This window comes from Homo sapiens, chromosome Y, assembly GCF_000001405.40.
Source record: "Homo sapiens chromosome Y, GRCh38.p14 Primary Assembly".
Classification (NCBI taxonomy): domain Eukaryota; kingdom Metazoa; phylum Chordata; class Mammalia; order Primates; family Hominidae; genus Homo; species Homo sapiens.
In genome coordinates, this window is record NC_000024.10 from 7,719,643 (window position 1) to 7,740,787 (window position 21,145).

General features: G+C 43.0%; 1 pseudogene; it reads right to left on the minus strand.

Annotated features, from left to right (window-relative positions):
- RFTN1P1 (raftlin, lipid raft linker 1 pseudogene 1) overlaps positions 1–21,145 on the minus strand; it is a 63,733-nt pseudogene that overhangs the window by 6,665 nt on the left and 35,923 nt on the right.

Sequence of the window (21,145 nt, forward strand, 5' to 3'; positions counted from 1 at the left end):
ATGTTCATATGGAATACAAAGGCCAAATCAGATATGAAATATGATTTGTTTGACACTAAAACTTACCCCCTTTCAACAACAGACATTTATTGAGCTACTGCTATGATGAGGCAGACCCTGTTTGAGGAACTGGGGGTAGGTGCTAAACAGGCTAAGTTTCTACACTTGCAGAGCTGGTGTTTTCTGACCAATGCACCATATTCTCTCTGCCTTGGTGGTTAGGATAAGATTTTAGTCGGGTCACAATGAGACTTAGGACTTCTGTTTGGGGCCACATCTGTGCAGATGCCATGCTCTCCTATATAGGGCAGAAAAAAAAAAGAATAAAAATATGATTGTAAATGGCTGACTTATGCATATAGCTGTGTATTTTGACACAATGGGTTAGCATACAGTGATGAAAGAAAATGGTCTGCAATTACATGTAAAAATGTAGACGAACCCCACAACAACAAGTGTGTGTATAAAGTTTGTATACAGTTCAAAACTCATCAATGGTGTTTCAAGTAGGGACTGTGATTACCCCAGGGGGATAGAAACAGTGCAATTACATGTAAAAATGTGGAAGAATCCCACAATGACAAGTGTATAAAATTTGTATAAAGTTTTGTATAAAGTTCAAAACTCATCCATAGTGTTTCAAGTAGAGACTGTGATTACCCCAGGGGAAGAGAAACAGTGTGGGGCATGCAGGGGCTTCTAGGGTTTTGATATGTTCTATTTCTTGATCTATGTGCTGGTGATGTGTGTGCTCACTTTGTGAAAAGCCACTGAGGTATATATCCTTGTGATCTGTACTATTTTTTACATGTGTGCTAAACTGCAATAAAAGTTTTTTAAAGATGTCCCATGGACATCTGCCACTGACCAGAGACACTAGCCACTAGCCACATACGGTTATTTAAACTTAAGTTAATGAAAGTTAAATTAATTTTAAAATTCAATTCCTCAGTAGCAGTATCCACATTTCAAGTGCTCAGTAGCCATAGTCAGCTGGTGGCCGCCATACCGGACAACCCAGATACAGAACAAACACCTCCATCATCACAGGCACTTCTATTGGACAGCCCTGCTCTGGATAGCTCTCTGAATGTATTTGTAACAAGCCAATCACTTTCTTGTGTCACTCATGCATTCAACAAATGGTTATGGACCAATACACTATACAACGCCTGCTGCTACTATGGTAAGATGTCAATATTAGACAATGGTGAGACTTTCATCCAAAATTAAGACCTGTCTGTGCTGTATCATGTTCTAAGGCTTTGGATGATTTAAAGTACATTCATTTAGAATTCAGAATGGTCTCTATTCTCAGGATGCTTGCTGGCATTTCAAGGATTGCAAACAATGTAGAATCCAAACTCTGTTCATGACTTTGCTAATTCTTGAGAGAAAATGGCTCAACAACAACACACAATACTGTTTATGCTCCCTGCCAGGTTTTGCTGGGATTGATAAATTTGGTGTTATGTTTCACTTAGGGATCCTATGACTGGCAGCCCTCAGGATATGTACGTGTTTGCACATTGGTCCCATTCCCCAAATTGCCTCTTAGATTTGACACACCCTGGTGACTCAACTTGCCTTCCCATTAACCTAAAGCCCTTTCTTTGTTTTACACATTTTCCAACTATACATAGACCTTCTGCCTTAGGAGAGCTGACATTAATAGTGCTATTCCATGCAGCAAACCACTAGAGACAATACATTACTGGGGAGGGGGTACTGGGTGCTGGGAGACCTGGGAACAGTGAGTGTCTCAGTGGAGCTTACAGAAACCAGTCTGTTCAACTTATTTCTCTGCTGCTAATTTCAAGGTGCTGCCACTGCTACTTCAAACTGTAATAGTGTCTACAAACAATTTGCACTTTGGAATGGCACACTTCCAACAGGTAATTAACAAATCCAGGGGACAATCTTTTTAAAAGGCTTTAAAAGCAACAGAGACTGAGGCCACCATCAATGATATAGAATCATTCCGCTTTCTCTGTCATTTCAGAAGATACCTGGTTGACTGCTAGAGAGGTTTAGAGACTACAGGCCCTGGGCTTTATGGAAAGTTCCTCAAGATGTGTTAATTAGAAATAAAATTCAGCATGGTTATTGGCTGCAGTGTTTTCTCAATGAAATAGGCTATGAAGAGGGACTAAGATTTCAATAGTTAGGAGCAGAGTTCACAAAGGGCCACCCAAGGACAGTGAATTCCATACCATTCACCATTCCAAGGCAGAACACTGCATTCACCAGCCTGCCTCCTTTCTGGAAGTGGTCGCTCGTGTGCCCTAACCGGTTGGTGTCCAAGCTCTCACTGTCTGGCCATTTTTGGAGACATGGAGAGGAATGGTGAGAGGGAAGTATTGCTGGCCCTTCTGATGGCTATTCGGTTTGTTGAAAAGGGCTGAGATCTACATTTCTGCTGAGATTTGTAAAGGTAGTGGAGAGAGAAGAAGTCAACCAAAGATAAAAAGCTGCTTCGTCGGGTTTAGTGGAATCTCTCAGGAGCCTGAATAAATGATATGATGAATGCTGAAATCTCTGTGAGGCTGTATTGTTGTCAAATAATAAAGCCTCATTCCAAGTAGTAAGGTGAGGCTGCCTTAAAGTAACATGGACCTCAAAGGTTGGGCTTCTAATGGGGGACTTAGGTTTTTAATCTGGAATATAATGAATACTTGTTATCTGGGATTAATGTGTACAGTTAGGTGGTTGAGAAAAGAACACAGCAGATGGTTCTAGAAATTCATACAAATATGTGTTTTGGAAACAAAAGCAGAATGTATTTGGGTCAGAGTGGTCTTTTAAAAAGTAAAGGTACAGAGACACATAAAAACAAAAATACTGCTCTAATGTCAGAAATATTATATACTCCTGAACTCACTATTTATAAACTGGAATAGTGTTTCCTGGGGCTGAACCCATATTACTTAATCAAGTACATCAAAAATACATCATTGATATGTAAAAATAAATATGTTCCTGTAAATGAGAGTTCCTGCCTGGAGTGGCAGGTCAGCCCAAACAGCCAAGAAGGCACTGGGGGTGAGGTGCTGAGCTTTCAGTTCCTTCATTTATAGCTCAGTTCTTAAGCAATCAATAATCACCACCACCCATCAGCTGAGCCAAGCCTGCCTATGTGCAGCTGGGCATGGGTTAGCAGTAGCAGCCTCCAGAAGCAAATATCTGGAATTTCAATCTAAGTCTGAAAGTCTATTTTTATGCTCCTCATTTAGTCAAGCAATCAGTTGACCCAGCTTAAAAAGTCTTGCTTACACAGGCTTGTCAGGAATATGCTTTGGTTTCCAAAAATATCTTTTTAAATCATAAGAAAATCCCCACCTTGTGTGAAACAAGAATTTAAAGGTCATAAACAATGGTTGACATTAGCAAGAAGGACAAAGCAAATTCATGCTCCCTGCATAAGCACTCTTTGATGCTGTTTCCCAAATTTCAGTACCTCACAATGTTTTGTGGTATCCAAGTACTAGTTGACTTTTTCCTTTATTTAAATAAATATATTATTTTTTTTTTTAAAAAAAGAAACTTTCTTTCATGAGTATGAAGGCAATCCACTACCACTTGCCAAAAACAAGGGGTGATGATGAAGTACATTAACACCAAATATGTTCATCTGTCTAACACCTAAAATTATCTCACATAGGTCACAAAGTCTTCTCTCAGCCCCATCTGAGTGAGCACCAGCAGAGATCACTAGGTAGCAGCGCTGGGCCATGTTACTTCGTCATCAGCAACACCTGAATGAGCAGAAGCCATTTCAGGCTTTCCATCCAACAGAACAATTATGAAAGGAAGGTGCCTATCTTTGGAAGTGGCCACTTGGATTTTAAACACCAACTCTAGCCTGTTCATTATCCCCATCCAAAGCTGCTTTTCTCAGCCCTCCTCCTTACTCAGAAGCCATCTCCAGCTAGGAGATACTTTCATACCAGAAATTAGGTCTTGGTGTATAGAGCTCGCAATCACTAGACTAGTTCATGACTGGAAAATACAAACTTTAGAAATGGAGCAACATGTAATGGAGTGAATCCAGCCATAAATTGGGGCTGGGGTGGGCAGGAGGTAAACTAGACAGTTGGGTGTTTTCCAGTCCTGGCGGCCAGGGGTTCAAATAAAGCTGCAGCTACCGAGGGCAAGAGGATAAACAAGGTTTTAGTTAGTTCTTGGGTTTATTTGGTTTCCTTTATAAGCAGACCCTGCAAGCTTTCCTGTAGAAGTAGTTTATTTGGGAAGTGATCCCAGGAAACAGAGGGAAGGAGTAGGAATGGAAAACACGGAGGAGATGGAGATGATGCCAGTGAATAAGTGCATTGAAGAGCATATTACCAATGGGGCAAGTAGGGCTCAGTCCCACCAGGGACCCACAGACACTGTGTAAAACACACCCAGATTCTTACACCAAGAGCAAGGATTGTGGGACATTTTTCCTCATGAATTGAAAGTTACTCCTGAGTCATTCATTTCCCAGGGCCCACTCCCTAGAATATCTGCAGGCAGAGAGGCTAAGGAAGCTGTGGGCTTAGCCAGAGCTAACCACAGGTGACCCCAACATAGGCTACAGCACCACTCACTACAGCCTGCTACAGTCAAGCACAAATATAAATGAATTAGAGAGAAAAAGGAAATCACAACCTCTGCATAGAAGTAGGTGGGGAATTTGGAAGTGGCCAAAGTCCAAAACTACATGGTAACACTTGATCACACAGAGGGAACTCCCACTCAATGGCAAGACAAAAACACAACTTTCCCGAATGCATAATGAACCAGAAAAAGGGGAAGGCCAAAGGAGAAGTGAGAGTGCTGGTGGTGTAATAGAGGAAGACAGAAACCCTCAGAAAAGGCAGATGGTGTGGACAGCTTTCCTGGCTTGATCCTCCTCAGGGGGCTAGACTGATGCCAGAGACAGAAATAAATTTCTCAGGAAGGAAAAGGAGAGAGCATTGGAAAAAAGAGCCTCCAAAGAATCAGCAGCAATGAAATATTGGGAGAAATCTGATTGCAGATGCGTAACCCTTGTACACTCACTCCTCTGTCCCATCATCTTCTTGGCTCTGGTCCTTTCTTTCTTCACATGAAAATCAGTCAAGAGAAACTGTACAAAAGTGATACCCTTTGATGTTTTAATATTCTGATTCTCCAATATTGATTCTCCAATACACATCCTCACATGAGCAAGCACCAAAGATTGCAAAAAGAGCCCCATGTTTATTTAAATTTTCTCAGCTGCTCTGTGACTCTCAGCTGGAAGATTTTTCTAGACATGGGACAGTAAGTCCCAAAGGGGTACGGAAGGCATTGGTTCTGATCATGTTCTGGGAATTGCTGAAGGACTGCACTGGCAGAGCACCCATTGGGACTCTCTTCTCATCTCTCCCTTTTCCCCACCTTGTCTCATTTAGATCCCTCCTATTGCACATGTGTTTGTTGTATTGACCTAAGCCAACCAGAGGAGAATGTGAGGGCAGGCTAAGGGGGTGTGGGGCCCAAGGGTGGGGGTAGTTGAATCCTGCCAGCCTGGGAAACTGGTCCATTCAGGCTTTGCCAGGCTACTAGGGAGTGGGGAGGAAAGAGGCAGGTGTCCAGCCTTGAGGTCTATGCCTGGGTCTGGGGACTCAGACACAGGATGGAAGGCTGCAGTTTGCCTGCAGGTGGGGCCCCAGAGAGCCCAGGTCTTGAGGGTAAGCAGGTGACTGGCTGGGCCTCTGGACCTCTGGTCAGGTGAGAAGAAAGAGTTTAGAGGCTGGCTGAAAATCTGGGGCTCCAAGGGCTAGATGTGGGAGGAGGAGGCAGCTGGCTATTACCTGCACTGGAAAGAACAAGTGGGCATCACACTTGGTGGGGACTGCAGGCTGCTGAGGTCATGGGCAGAAGGGACTAAGCAGAAATGTTTGTATTGGGAAGGCAGGCAGTGGGCACCATGGTGGCAAGGCAGGGCAAGAGGGCAGAAGGGCCGTAGGCTATTCCAGATGCCTAAATCTGGGCAAGGCTGCTCAAGCTTCAGTCAGGATTGGGTACTAATAGCAGGGCACCTCTGGGCCAGCACGAGGCCTGCTTGCCAGGGCAGCAGGGAAAGGCAAAGTGCAGGGACTGCTGCATGAACAACAATCCAAGGGAATCCACTTGTAAGGATGACAACAACCACAGGCATGTGTCCCTTATTTACAAGGGCCTTTCACCTTCACCATCGCATGTGACTCTCCCAACCTTGATGGGAGGGGGCGGCACTGATTATGTGCCCAGAAGCATTAATTGGATCCCCCAGAAATCACAAGCCTATATGTGGCACAACCAAGGGCCTTTCACACCCCAAACTCTGGGCTCTTTCCCAAATATAACAAGAGGCTAATTCATCAGGACACAGAAGGCAGGGGCCAATGACTATGCATGGGAACTCAATAGCTGTTTGTTAATGAACTGAGTAAAAGATGAGAAAGATGGCTGCAGTGTCAGATCTGGGAGGGGGCCATATCATGGGGTCCAACTGTCCCGAGAGTGTAGGGAGGGAAGGAGCCCTACCCCTACATCAGGAAAGCCCTACCCCTGGGTTTTGGCCATTCACAATAAGCTGGCAGCCAGGGAGTGCTACTGAATAAAATCGTCTCAGCCAGAAACATGATTGGCATCATATGCTCAGGTTTCAGGCTGACATTTCTAAGCCTTTTAAGTGAGGAGGTGCAGCATAGGAAGGGCAGTGCTTGGAAGACTTATTATTTTGTGTCAGTGAGAATGATTAGAATTTTGTTGAACCTGTCTAGCCTCCTTGTTTCTCTGATGGAAGTTGTGGCAGCAGAGATGGTGAGGCTGTCCCTGCACAGGCTCAGGTGATCACTGCACAGCATGGACCTCCAACCAAAAGGAAATTCCCCCAGACCAGGAAATAAGCGAGCAGGAAGAGGAACACATAGTGGGCCTCCCCTAGAACCTGCAGAGGCAAGGACATGACGGCTGCATGGAGCCCGCAGACATGGGGAGGGACGACCTGCCCCTGCTTCCACATGCAGAATCCACTGGAAAGTCCTGTCTGAGAAGTCACTGCCTAGATTCCTCTCCCCAAGGCCTGCTGTAAAGAAAATAAGTTAACAGAGGAGAAGGTGGGAAGAGGAGGGAGACTCTCTCCAGATTTTTTTTAATTGTCTTGTTGTGATTGCCTGTTTAAGCCCACCTGGCAGAAGAGGAGTAAAAACACTTCCCTCCTTAAAGGGCTCGGAGAGAAGACAAGCTGGGAGCTGAGCAGGCAGCCGGGAGGGGTGCCTGGGGGCAGCGGTGGGGGGTAGCTCTTTGTGACTGTTGGGGAGTGATGGTGAGTGGATTTCCCAGGAGAAAGATTAAGAGAGAGGCTGGGGGTCAGATGAGGGTCACAACCAAGGGGGACAGGGTCCCTGGACATTCAGCCTTCAAGAAGGCCAAATGCTCAAGCTGTGATAAAGAAATTTAACTGAATGGGGCCACAAAAGGTGACACCCCCTACTTGTGAAACGGACATGATAATAGCATCTTCTGCCATAAAGCTGTTGTGAGGAGTAACTGAGATGACACGAGAAGGACATAGAATAGTGCACTTGGAGGGTGACTGCCATCATGACCACTGAAAGGCTTATATGTGAAATGATCAAACCCAAAGGCTTATTTATTCCACCAAAGGAGGAAAAAAGGACAACAGTGAGCTGCCTAAATTTCAGAGATTTGCAGCCTGAGCAGAGAGATAAAGGGGCTGCTTTATGCATAGAGACAGGCAGTGTTTACCTGCCTAGGGAGAATGGGCTCGAAGGAGGATTTAATCCCTCCCCCTGGCCTATACTTGCAGAGCTGAAATTCTCATCTACTGGTGGGCTGACCGCCTCCAGAAACACATGCATTCACCCATTCCTCCCTAGCGGGGTCTGTTTTTCCAGGAGAGAATGGGGACTTGGGTGACGGGATAGTGGCCAAGATGCTGTGGGTGTCAATTTTTCTGTGTGTTCAGCCATTGGGAGAGATTCTGGGTGAGGGAAGTGAGTGGCCACAGGATAGCATAAAGGTCCTGGGCACCTGGGAAGGTTCCTAGGACAAGTCTCCCCAGTGAATAATGCTCTCACAGAAGGCAGGAGGTCTGGAAGGAGTCTCAGAGGAAGATGGGCTCTAGAACACAGTAAAAATCTGAAAAATCCTGAGGAAACCTCAGTAGTCACTGCCTCCTTTCTCAAAGCCAGGATTCCATGAGAGGTCGATGTCGAGTGTCAGGACTACTGAGCCTGTACCCCAATAGTAGCAGCTCATACTCATGAGTCAAGCATTGCCAAGTGCTTTAAATATGTCTTCTTTAACCTTTCCATGAGAAACCATCATTCTATCCCCATTTCACAGGGTGAGAAATTGAGGCATGGAAGGCAGGTTGGAATGTAAACAGAGGCTAGATTTTTGAGCACTATGTTCCCCACCACTCTGTCACTCCCTCCTTTTCTCCTGGGGGCCTCTGCTTGGCCTGACCCTTGCCCTCCTACAGTCCTGGACTGCAGAGAAGGGCTCCAATGAGGCCCATCTTCTTGCTCAAGATTCAGAGTACACACATCAAGCCCAATCTCCTGAGAAGCTGGAGGTTTCTGGATTAAGGCCTGAGCATTCATGAGGAGGACACACCGGGCTTAAATGCATGCTCAGCTACTCCATGAGGTGCAGCAGGCACCTGCTTCAAACAGTGAAAAATCACACAAATGAATGGCTCTATTTCTGCGCATACTTAAGAAGGCTCAAGGCCTTGATTAAACAGTAGTCTTACTATATCACACAGCTGAGGCAGCTCCAATATCTCCCTCTAAATCAATTTTGCAAATAGGCCCCTGGAATTAACCATCCCATAATTTTCTTCTCAAGAAGTTTGGAAGTAACAAAACATACTGTTTCTCCTTGTTTTCCCTTCTTGAAGCACTACCTGTTCATTATCACTTGTAAGAGGCTAATTTCAAGAATTAGTAAATAAATGATAATAACAATATTAACCTGAGAGAACATCCAGAAAGGCCTAAAGAGAAAGCCCTCCTAACCTCTGGGTGTCTTCTGTCAGTCTTCATACTTGTTCACCTTTCAAAGGCTAGAAGGGGTCATATGGCTCGTCTACATACCTTACTCGCAGGAAATGACTGGATGCTAGATTTCCTGGAGAAAGGGGAAATATGGATGGTAGATTTCCTGAAGAAAGTAGAGAAAAAGGCAATACAGAGAAACAGAGGGAAACTTTGTTCCCTATAAATCTTGTTGAGGACCTCAGTAAATTATTTTAGTCTATCACACAGGAAAGAACAAGTAGAAAGGCGTGAAGGGATGTTGGGTAAGTCCACCTGGGTTCATATGCCGGATCTTCCTATTTCCAGACTGGGCAACAAATTTCCTCTCTAAATCCCAGTTTGCACAGCTGTAAAATATCTTACTTTAGGCAGGTATTTTAACAAGCTGTGTGTAGGTTGTCATTGGTGCCTGGCAGGCTGCCACTTTCTGTGTGAAAGCTGGATGATTCAAGGGAAATTTTGAGAGCACAGGAGGTAAAAGAACTCAAGAGTCTAGAATCCACTTCAAACATGACATTTTGGAGCACACTGCAAGTCAATTTCATGTGGTTCTGTTCTCTCCATAAATCATAACTTCAGTAAGTAAACAGTCAGGTGGCCCAGATAACTGCTTGATAAAATTTCTCCTATTTGATGGACTGCTATCTCTACACTCTAATTCCATTCCTTTTTCTCTGAGATACCATGGGGATTAATGAAAAGCTGTTAGTCACTCTTTAAGTGGGTCAAAACTCCCAGTGCTGACATACTTACTCCCTGAGAGTGGCTCTTCATGTACCTCCAATGAGTCGCCATCTGGGTCAACCAGTGTCTTGCTCACCCCACGTGGTGAAAGTTGTCCACCATCTCCCTCTCCAGGGGGTGAGCTGGGCTTCTGGGCAATGGGTACCTCCCCTCTGGGGCCTGAGCAGTTTCTGGGATTTGGTTTCTCCCAGCCAGGGCACCACACATGTTCCTAGTCCCTGGTTTCTCATTCTCCAGTGACACATGATCCCCATGTGCATTTTTTTTACATCCCTGGCATTTTCCATGCTGTTGGCAGTAGACACCGGAGCACTGCTGCCTGCCAAATCCACAGGGGAATGGTACTGAGGCATAACACCAATGAATTTCAGGCCCTGGCTTGCAGCCTCCTGGATCTGTGCGGCAAACAAAAGGAAGGGAACCAAGTGAATGGAATCGTCTATCAAAAGGGCATGTGCAGAGTGCAAAGAGCCTCCCTGAGGCCTGCGAAACTATTTCAGGTGCACATGAAGAATTTCAAGCTGGCAGGAGCCCCGTGTCCTCAGGGACACCTGCCGCCACATCCTGGTCTGAAGAGGATAGGCTTTTTTTGTTTTGTTTTTGTTTTTGTTTTGTTTGTTTTTTGTTTTTTTAATATGTTGTCTGATGGAAAAATAAAGCATTGGGTTTGAAGGGTTGAAATCACCATTTTGAAACACTGCAGTAGTCCTTATTAGCCATTTTTTTTAAAGAGGCTGGAAAAGTTCTAAACAAAGAGTTTGAAAGAGGAAGTTCATTTTGGTAGAGTGTTTTTTTGTTGTTGTTACTTTTTTTCAGAGGAATCACTGACTTCCTGCCCATCAGGCTATTGTGTAACTACAGCTTGTCTATATAATCATATACAAAGACCAGATGGCATTTTAGACCCAAAGAGCTCCCTTTTTGGGCAATAGTTTTGGCCAAGAGGGGCAGAAGTGGAGAAAATCACCCCCGTGCCAAGGCTGTGGCCACATCCTCCACGAGATGCACCATCTGATGGACACCTTGCTCCCTGGTGTTGTTAGGCTTAGGGAAGGTCAAAGGAGCCCACAGATCATGCCTAGCCCACAGCTACAGACTGACTCTTGGCCCTCAAAGTCCTAGTCCACACCATCCAGCAGCCAGGTGATGGTACCTTCTCATTCCCTGTACCAACAGGATAGGAGATGAACACCCACCTGGAATGCTGAGGCATTTGAACTCTCCCTCTCCCTAAAAAATACCCCTATGCAATTAGATTGAGTGTAATTCATAAGTTTGAAAGGAAAATTGAAAGGAATAAAATCTAATAAAATCAAGCAAGAACCAGACCAAATCAGAAGGTAGGATTTAGGGGACTTTCCAGGCACGAATGCTTAAGTCACTTTACACATAAATAAGGCGGTGCAGACCTCAGAGCTGTCTAAGTCTTTGTCACCAACCCATAAGCAGATGAATTCAGAAAATCTTGAGGCCTCTGCAGTGTTAATCTATCATCATTAGAGAGTCAGTTTCACCAGGATGGAGCTATTCTCTCTAAAGGAGAAGCAGCCCTGACAGCTCTTCTCAGAAGAACCACCCTGACATTAAACAGAAAGTCATTTTTGTTCCACACTGCACATCTTGGAAAACTGAAGCTGCAAATGTGCAGTCCAGTCTTTCTTTAAATCCTAGCCTGTGCTAGACATAAAATAACAATAGTAGTAATTACTGTCTAGTGTAGACCTACTATATCTAGGCATTGAGTTAGGCATTTTACGTAAGTTAAAACAACAAAATCTTTCATCCTTCAATGACTCTGCATGGTATCACTATCTCCATTTCAGATGAAGACATTGAGGCCCAGAGACATTAATGTCACAAAGCAAGCAGTGAGTAGCCAGAGTACAAAACCAGGTCAGGCCTGGGCCAAAGTTCATTCTTTTAATCACAAGACTTATTGGATACATCTCAAGGCATCAACCACATATATGTCTTTGGGCATGTTTGCGTCCACTCATACACCCAGAGTTGGCTCAATTCATGCTTCAAAAGTTAAAAAAACAACAAAACAAAGCACACAAAAAACTTACAACCATCTATTCCATTCAGAAATTTTATTTTTTCTCTCATTAATCTATGATATCCACCAATTTCAAAAGGGTTTCATATAAAAAGAAAATATATATATGCTCATATATTCCATATAGCTTATATATTCTATAAAGCTCCTAAAAGAAGGCACAGCAACACAAATTTTAAAATAAAATAGCAGGGAGATAATTATACCAAAGAACTCTGGAGACTGAGGAAATCCACCACCTGCAAAGCATACTTCTGAGCTTCCTGGCAACATATGCCAAAAGAGCAAGGCAATGGGTTTTACAGCCCTAAATGAAGTAAGGAGACACCTGCACTAGCTTCTGCTACTACTATCTTAATGCAGATGAAACAGCTGTGACTACTGAAGCATTTTAATAACTGCTTCCACTGAGGACTCAACCGTAGGCCAGGCTCAACTAGACTCATGGAAATAGCATGAAGTTTAAAGGCTTTTGAAAAGGCCTGATGTGGAGCCCCAGATGTGTAACTCAACATCTTGGGGAAGCAGAGTAGATTATATAAACTTTCTGTGCCTCAGTTTTCTCATGTACAAAATGAGTGAAAACACACTTATTTTGCAGTTGCACTGAAGCTTAGTTTAGATATTACATATGGCAAGTGCACCAAAGAATGGGTCATAAAGACGGCATCTTAACTTCTCTCTTTATCAGTCCTGGGCTTCTGCAACCCTGCAGAGACTGCTGAGTCATCTAGACTGAAGAGACAAGGACTCCAGAAACAGGGCATTATCCTAGCTCTCCCCTTCCTCACTGGGACTGGAAGAATTGGAAAGGCTTGGACACAGACATCTTCTCTTCCCCCACAACATACCAGACAACCATATTCCCTTGCCATTTTGTACTGCAAATTTATCCTCTAGGCCAGGGGTTCTAAAGTTTTGTCCCCAGACCACAGCATCAGCATCCCCTGGGAACCTGTTAGAAATGCAAATTCTCAGGCCCTAACACAGACCTATTGGGTCAGGAACGCTGAGAGTGGGATCTAGCAATAGGTGTTTTAACAAGCCTCCAAGTGACTCCAATGCAGCCTGATGTTTGAGAATCATCAATGTGTCTAGAATACACATCTCATGAGGGCTTGGGTATTTTACACTGCTGCATCCTCAGTAATAGAATGATGTCTGACATATAGCAGGTCCTCAATAAATATCCGTTGAATGAATGAATACATTAAATAATGGATGAATAAGTATGTCTTCTCTCCCAGAATGAGCTTCTTGAAGGTAGGGATGGAGACATCATTTTTCTGCTCTAGAATTCAACAGTTAATAAGCCCCATACACTGGCCCAGACCAACACAGTGGTTAGGTATCAGAAATATAAAATAGGATCCCTAACCCTCAAGAAGATTTGATGAATTATTGTGAACAGACTTTAAAAATATTTACACTATCTTGGAACAATAATGCTCATAATGACATGTATGTAAAAAGTCAAGATTCTAAACTTCATTGACTTTATTATGACAACTATGTAATATACATACATAAACTATGCATAAAAAGAGTCACCAAAACAAAAACAGCACTGTATTTAGGGAGTTGGGCTATGATTGATTTTTTTTCTTTTACTGTGTAATTTTCAAAATTTACCTAAGGGGCATGGATGTTATTTTAGTAGTGAAAAAGTAAATATTGTAAAAATTACTCATAGAGGAAAATATAGTAATGGATATGAAGGTATATAAATGACAGTGACAATGGTGATCATTTCTGCCTGAAGGGGAGGTTGAGAAAATTTCTCAGAGTAGATCAGGGATGTAACAAATGACACGGTGTAACACAAAAGGAAGAGTGAGAAATGTGGCAGAACTGGAGTGTGTATGCCTCACCTTAAAGCATTCAAATCCATTTTTTTTTTCAAAATGTCACGCTAGGTAAAACATATTTGGGATCTACTCTGCAGAAGGCTTTGAGGAACGAATAACAGTTCACTAGGTATGTAAAGGAAAAGGAGAGGGCAATCCATGTAAAGGCAAGGATGGATCATGACAGGCAAAAGCTTGACAGTATGCAACAGCCTGATGTGTTGAGGAAATTTCTAGACATATCTCAGGAACATGACGTGAGAAGCCAACAGAAGCCCAGAAATAAGGCTTGACTAGACATTACAAGGACTGACACACATGTGGACTTGTATTCATGCCCACAAAAACTCTGACTTCACCATGTAGGCCAGCATATCCAACTGTCCCACCAGAGTCATAACTTCAAGAACAGAGGAGAGCGGGAGTCTGAGGGAAAACTAAGATTTCTTCGAATGCTCATCTTTAACCTTCAACTTCAGTGCAAATATTGTATCTTACACCATAGTGCTGCCTAGGATCAAAACCTTTCAAACGATGTCAGAGTTAAATGCTGCCCTTATCCCATGTGTTCCAGGGAAATTCACACCCCCAAGAAGAGGAAGCATATTTGTAGCTCTGCTTATTTCCTTCAAATAGATTCCTGGAAGTGGAATTAATGAGTGAAGGGATATTAACTTTTCAAAGGCTTGGTAGAGGCTGCCAAATTGTTAAACAGAAAGGATGAGTAGTCTTTTTAACTAGAAGACCACATTTAGATTATATGAAGATCAATATTTGGCTAGACCTAGGAGACACGACTCTTGTGGTTCTGTCTTACCATAGTATAGACACTTTCCTCTTTTTCAGAAAGTGATTTGACTGTGTATTGATGGCTAAATTAAATCCTGCTTCTCATTCATGCATTTATAACCTTCACTGAGCCAGTCTGATGTTTATCATGGTGCTGGGCCTGTGATGTATTCATGAGAGTTCCCCAGCCACCAGCTCTCCTCCACTGTATACTTGGTGACCTCCTGCACTCACATGGGTTCCACAAATCCGATGTTAATTATTTCCAAGTGTGAACTCCTAGCCCTGGCTTTCCTTGGAAGTTCAGACCTACAAAGTAGATGATCACAGTTGACGGGCCCGCTGTCAATCTGGTCTCTCCAACTGGAATCACAGTATCTTCTTTCCTTTCTCTAATCCTGTGTATCTGTTCACCACACCCTGTCACGTTTATCCCCCAATGTTTGTGGAATTACTTCTTCATTGAAGAGGCATCAGGTTGGATGGGCTGGATATCTGTTTAAACTGAAATACACCCTCACCCACCTTCTTCTCATTTCTGCTGTCTGTAAGAAACGTTCTGCCCCAAATACTTAAAGGAGTAACTATTTGTGGTTTAGGCACTGAAAATTAAATATGGCTGTTTTGACTGATGCACAACTTCAGTTAGTTGCTCTATAATGAATAAGGATAAGCTCCACTGTAACTGTATTCAGGAATCATAATGTGAAAAATATTTCTTTTTTAAAAAATTTAGTTATATAAAAAGTCTCAACTCATTGTACAAAAATCTTTGGTTATATATTTGAGGAATCACTTTTATTTTTAATAAAATTAATTTTTTAATTAAAAATAACAATATGACATTAGATTTCAAGGCTGAATTATCTGTTTCTACATCTAAAATGAATACCATGTTACTAATGATGACTGCAATATATACTCTATGTGCATGTAAATATACATATTTGTACTTTAGAGGATGCGTATCAATCAGGGTGAGAAATCAGTTAGAAGGAAGTGAGACACAGATTGGATTTAGTAAAAATGAAAGCTATATGGAACATAGGAAAAGGAAGAGAGAAGCCCAATGCTCACAGGTCAATTAGAGTGCCCATAGCCTGTAGTACATAGCATGGGTAAAGAGACAGACACTTCCAAGACTGTTTTGTCTGACTCTAAGGAGGGAGGTATCACAGTTAATTTTTTGTCCACTTGACTGAACTATGGTGACCAGATGTTTGGTAAAACACTAGTCTAGATGTTGCTGTAAAGGTATTTTTTAAATGTGTCATTAACATTTACAATCAGCTGACTTTCGGTAAACTGAATTCCTCTATTATTAGGTCTCATCTAATCAGGTGAAGTCTTCAAGAGCAAAGACTGAGATTTCCCAAAGGAAAAAGAATTCTGCCTCTGGACTGCAACACAGAAGTTCTCCCTGAGTTTTCCCCCTTCAAACTTAAGACTGCAACATCAATCCTTACCTGAATCTCCAGTCTGCTGGACTGCCCTGCAGATGTCAGACTTTTTGGACCCCACAATCACATGAGCCAATTCCTTAAAATAATCAACTTTCTCTCTCTCCACCAGGAGGTAGGGGGAATAATATAGCACAGGACAAGCTGATGGAGGTCTCTAAATGTAAACCTGACTGGGCCTGAAATAAAAGATGGGTACAGGCTCCCAAATGACAGTGAGCCCCAAACAGAAACAAGACAACTAGGACCTCATCAGGTATTGATTCCAGTTCCTACGTGAGAGGCTGAAGTGTGGCAGGAAGGCTTTTAGCCATCACTGTTGCCCAGGTAAAGGAAATTTCCCCCATTGTGTTTTGAGGAGAACTGCTACATACCAGGTAAGGGAGGTTATATCTATAACTGATGGATTTATTTTCTACAAGTTATATAATAAAGTTAATGAAATGCCTGTAATTAGGAATTAATCCTGGGAAACAGGAACTTACTGCTACAAAAATAGAGAGCTGGGCTGTCCAATATGGCAGCCACTAGCCACATGTGGCTATTTAAATTTAAATTAATTTAAATAAAATAAAATTTAAATATTCCACTCCTTAGACACATGAGTCACATTTCAAGTGCCCACCAGCCACTTGTGGCTGATGTAGAATATTCCATCATCTCAGAAAGTTGTCTTGGGTAGCTCAGCTATAGAGCATAATAAATTACATAAAATGCTGAAAAATAGAGTTTTTGCCAGTGATTTCAGAGGCATATAATATAGTATAAAGTCCAAGACTCACATCCACATAGTCATATACCCTAGATCAGACCACTGCCCACTCTGGCCCTCCCTCATAACGCATGCACCACTGATAGGTGACAACATACACAGCACATGCAGGGAGCACACAGCACAGGCATGCCCTAGATGTCAAGAACAGACACAAAAATGCCATTCTGGGTTGCAGTTACATGTGAGTCTTTATAGTGAATATTTTATCAGACACACACAACCCTTCCCATCTTGTCACCTACACTCTTTTACAGCTTTCTGAAAAGGGAGGCTCAAAAATAACACAGGTTTGAGCTCACATCTGAAGTTGCCTTTAGTTTTGACATGATAACACTTAGCCGCAGGAATTGAAAGCTTTGCCAGGCATTGCTGGATGTTTACCTCCATTTAGGTGCCACGAGGAAAGATCATGTAAACTTCCTGCTGTTTCTCTTTTAGCAACAGAGAGTTCTTAGAATCCGCGCTGGGACAAAGAATTTGAAGACTTAAAGCTTTGGACCTGGCTCTGTTACTCGGTAGTTATATTATTGGTCAAACTAGTTGATTTATATTAGCTTCAGCTTCTTCATCTATAAAATGGAGATACTTATATTCATTTATTCATTCTGTAACTACTTACTGAATACCAATTGTATGCTGGGCACTAGCTTCTGGGCAAACAGCAATGAGTCACACAGGCACTATCCCTTCCTTCTTGCATTTAATGTGCATTGGTTTTACTCAAGGGATAACTGAGGTACTCTGAAGAGTTTGTTCTACCCTTCTCAAACTGTTTATACTCAGTTTGAGGAACCACAGCTTGTCCTAAGATCCCTGGCAGGGCTGAGTTGAGGGGAAGAGGTATTTGTTTATTCTCCTCTGCTATTAGGGGTGATAAGAGGGGAGCTTGAGAAATACTGTAAGAACTCAGCAAATTGTAACCTAAAAAAAAATGAAAGAAAGAGGTGGGACCCAGCATTCTAGTAGAAGCAGAGAACAGATTCATCCTTTGGTAGATCTGTTCAGGACAGGGATTTCTGATCAAAGGAGTTCCATTTGCCTGCATTATCTGTGTTAATGGACTCAGTTCTTTCACTGAGACTGTGCCTATAATTTCACCATTCAGGGAACATAAAGTGCATGGGAGTTAGGAATTGGTAAAGTGCATGGGAGTTAGGAATTACTGAGAGAGGTCAGTAAAGCCACATCCCCCACAGATCTTTAGCTGGCTTTTAGTGCTCCCTGAAACCCAACCTACCAGGACACTCCAATCCAGCGTCAAAACTTTAAATCACAGATATACATGGGAAGTGAACAAGGAAGGGTCTGCCTGTGAGGAACAACTCAATGGTCTCTCCAAGAACAGTCAAGTGGTCAGTACGGTGGGGCCAGAGCTGGACTTAAGAAGACCTGGAACTGTGTCTCAGCACTGTCAGCACACTTGCTCCAAGTTTCATTCCTACTTTCATCTTTTGGCATCATTCTTTTTTCTTATCTGGGGCTAATTTTTTCCATGTAGCAGAAAATATGGCCATTGCCACCTTCTGAGTTTTCCTGCTAATAGCTTAATCACTGGAGGTACAATGTCTAAACTTTCTGATTATCCAAAGCAATATATCCCAGGGAAGGGCTCTGATTGGCCCAGCTTATGTCAGATGTCCACTTCTGGGCCAACTGGCTTTGACTATGGTACATGATGGCTCCTTGGAAATCATCCAGTAGGATTGCAGGAACAAAGAATCTCTCAACAGAAGAATTTCAAGGCAGGCACAATAAATATTTAAATATCTATCACGTACATTCATCAACTAGTATGAAAATCTGAAATTTGCTCATGATTCACACATACTAAAATGAAGAAGGGGATATAAGGCAAATGTTATATAAGGCAACTGGTATTTATGCCAAACAAAACTACCCAAGTAAGTCCACATCTATTTTCATCAAAATGGTTTCAGTGTCTGTGTTCTAGTTTATTTGTCTGCATAGATACAGCATTCCTCTACTTTACAGAGGATATCTGTGCATATCTCCTTCAGGTCTGCTCAACATTGTTCATTAAGAGCACTTTTTGGAATCACCAAGCAACTCCCAACTATTCCACTACACAGAGTAGTTTGTCACAGTAGATGCATGTCCAGACCAGGAGGGCACAGTACAAAGATTCAACATGCTGGAGCAGTCAGGAGTCACCTCTGGCAGATTTTCCTTGCCCCAGAACATCCCAATGTCTCCCAGTGTATGCCCATCAGCAGAATTCAACATATGTGTGGTTGTCTGTGCTGAGAACAGGATTCTGGAGCAAAGAAGACCTTGGCTCATGAGAACTACCATCATTCAAATAGGACCACTTAGGAAGAGAATTGGCAGGAGAATCTGCCACCCCCGTCCAAGGTTGCAAGACACCCAGGCTTCCATTAAATACTGCTGCACATCTACAAGGATATGGATTAATCAAACATCAAAACATTATGTTAGCAAAGCATTTAAAGAGAGTTTTGTCACTGTCCTATGGGAGTCAAAGAATGTGTGCCAGTCTTCCCAGTCTGTTAGTTCTGTGGCTGCCAAAATCCATGATTGGTAACCATGAATTTAACCTTATCCACAGGTAAAATCTGTGCATACGGAAATGTTTTGGGAGAAGGATTCCTATGAGAAACAGGGCTAGCAAAAGTGAAAAAATGAAAAAGACTCAGAAGTTACTCAGGGAAGAGCAAATGTTCAGTGTGCTTTCACTGAAAATCTGCAGTTATAATTTACTGAGAGTTTATTGTATGCCCAACACTGTTTTAAAGGATGTTCATGGATTAACTCACTTAATCCTTATAATAACAATAACAATAAGTATTAATTTTTATCCCTATTTTCCAGATTAAAGAACTGAGGCACAGAGGTGTTGGACAACTTCTCCAAAGTCAGACAACTAGTAAAGGGCAAGTAGGATTCAAACCTAGGCAGCTGGCTCCAGAGTCTGTGTTACTACCTGTTACACTACTCAGTGCTGTATTCACAATATTCCTACACCATAAGCTGTACTGGGAAATACCAGGGCTAGATGGCAGAGTCTTGCATCTTTAGAGTATGAACTTTTAATTCTGAAGGTGATGAGATGCCATCATGACTTCTGAGCAAAGTGACATAATTAAGCCTGTCCTAAGGAAAATGAATCTGCCCACAGGATGTGGTATGGATTGAAGTTAGGGTTGGTAAGACAGTGAGGAGACAGGAGGCAAGGGGCATGGCTGGGGCCTGGAAGTCAGTGCAGAGCTCACGGGAAAGGTCAGAAGAGCCTACATTTCCTATGGGAAGGGATGTGAGAAGTCCATGGGAGACCAAAAGTAGAGGCAGCAGTCTGTGATATACCATGGCACACTGATTTGCCAAACAATTGAACCAAAGGGTGAAATAATAATCATGCTCAGATGACAGGCATGAACAGGGACTGTCTGAGCAAGCTGGGATATATGATCACCTGGTTCAACATGATCAGCAGCAAAGACCCAGAAAGCTGCTTTAAGAGGCACTCAGAGGACTGTTCCTTCTCCTCTTTCCTGTCCAGCACATGACCCACTGCTTCCATCACTCTCCTGCTATTAAATCCTTCGCTTTCTCTGTCTGACACCCCCTACAAATGTCGCATCCATCCAATCCACCTAGGATCACAAGAAAGAAGACTCAAGGTCTCCCATTGAGGCTGAGGCCACATGGCCATCCTGCAGTGGCTTGCTTCATCCCTGACCAGCTGTCTTGTGCTTCGCCAGCTTTCTTGTGTCTTTCTCCCTTCTCCTGGACCCCACCCTCTCCCCACTTTCCTACCATTCTCCAGAGATGACTTAAAGAAAAAATCAAGGTCAGAAGCTGAGAAGCCCATCCCCATGTCCTCTTCTGGCCCTCCACTCTTTGTCCCCATCATCAGTGGGATCTGGTTAAGTCAAAACCTAGGCCATGGGGCTCACGTTTTCTGCCACCCTGGAAGACCCAACTCTACTTAGGATCAGATCATTTCTCTTTTCTATATCCTTGGTCTGTCTGTCTCTCTCCCTCTCTCTCTCTCTCTCTCTCTCTCTCTCTTTCTCCCTCTCTCTTTCTCTCTCTCTCTTTCCTGGCTCCTTCCACTCAGCATACAACTAAATTCAAGCTATCTTAAAAAAAAAAAAAAAAAGAAAAAGAGGAAAGAATCCAACCAACAACAGAAGAAAGTAAGCCTTGGCCACCCACCTCTGCCCCACTGACTCTACCTCCACTCAATCTCTGGCTTCTGTACTGCCTCCCACAGGCAGCTCCCCACAGCCCTCCTGTGACCTCCATGAAGCCAAATCTCACAGGATCTTCAGCCCTCACTACCCCATCCTCTGTGGCACCCCATGCATTCTCTCCCCCTGGAGATGCTCTTCCCTGGCCTCACCACTACCCTCCTGCTCCTGGTTTTCTTC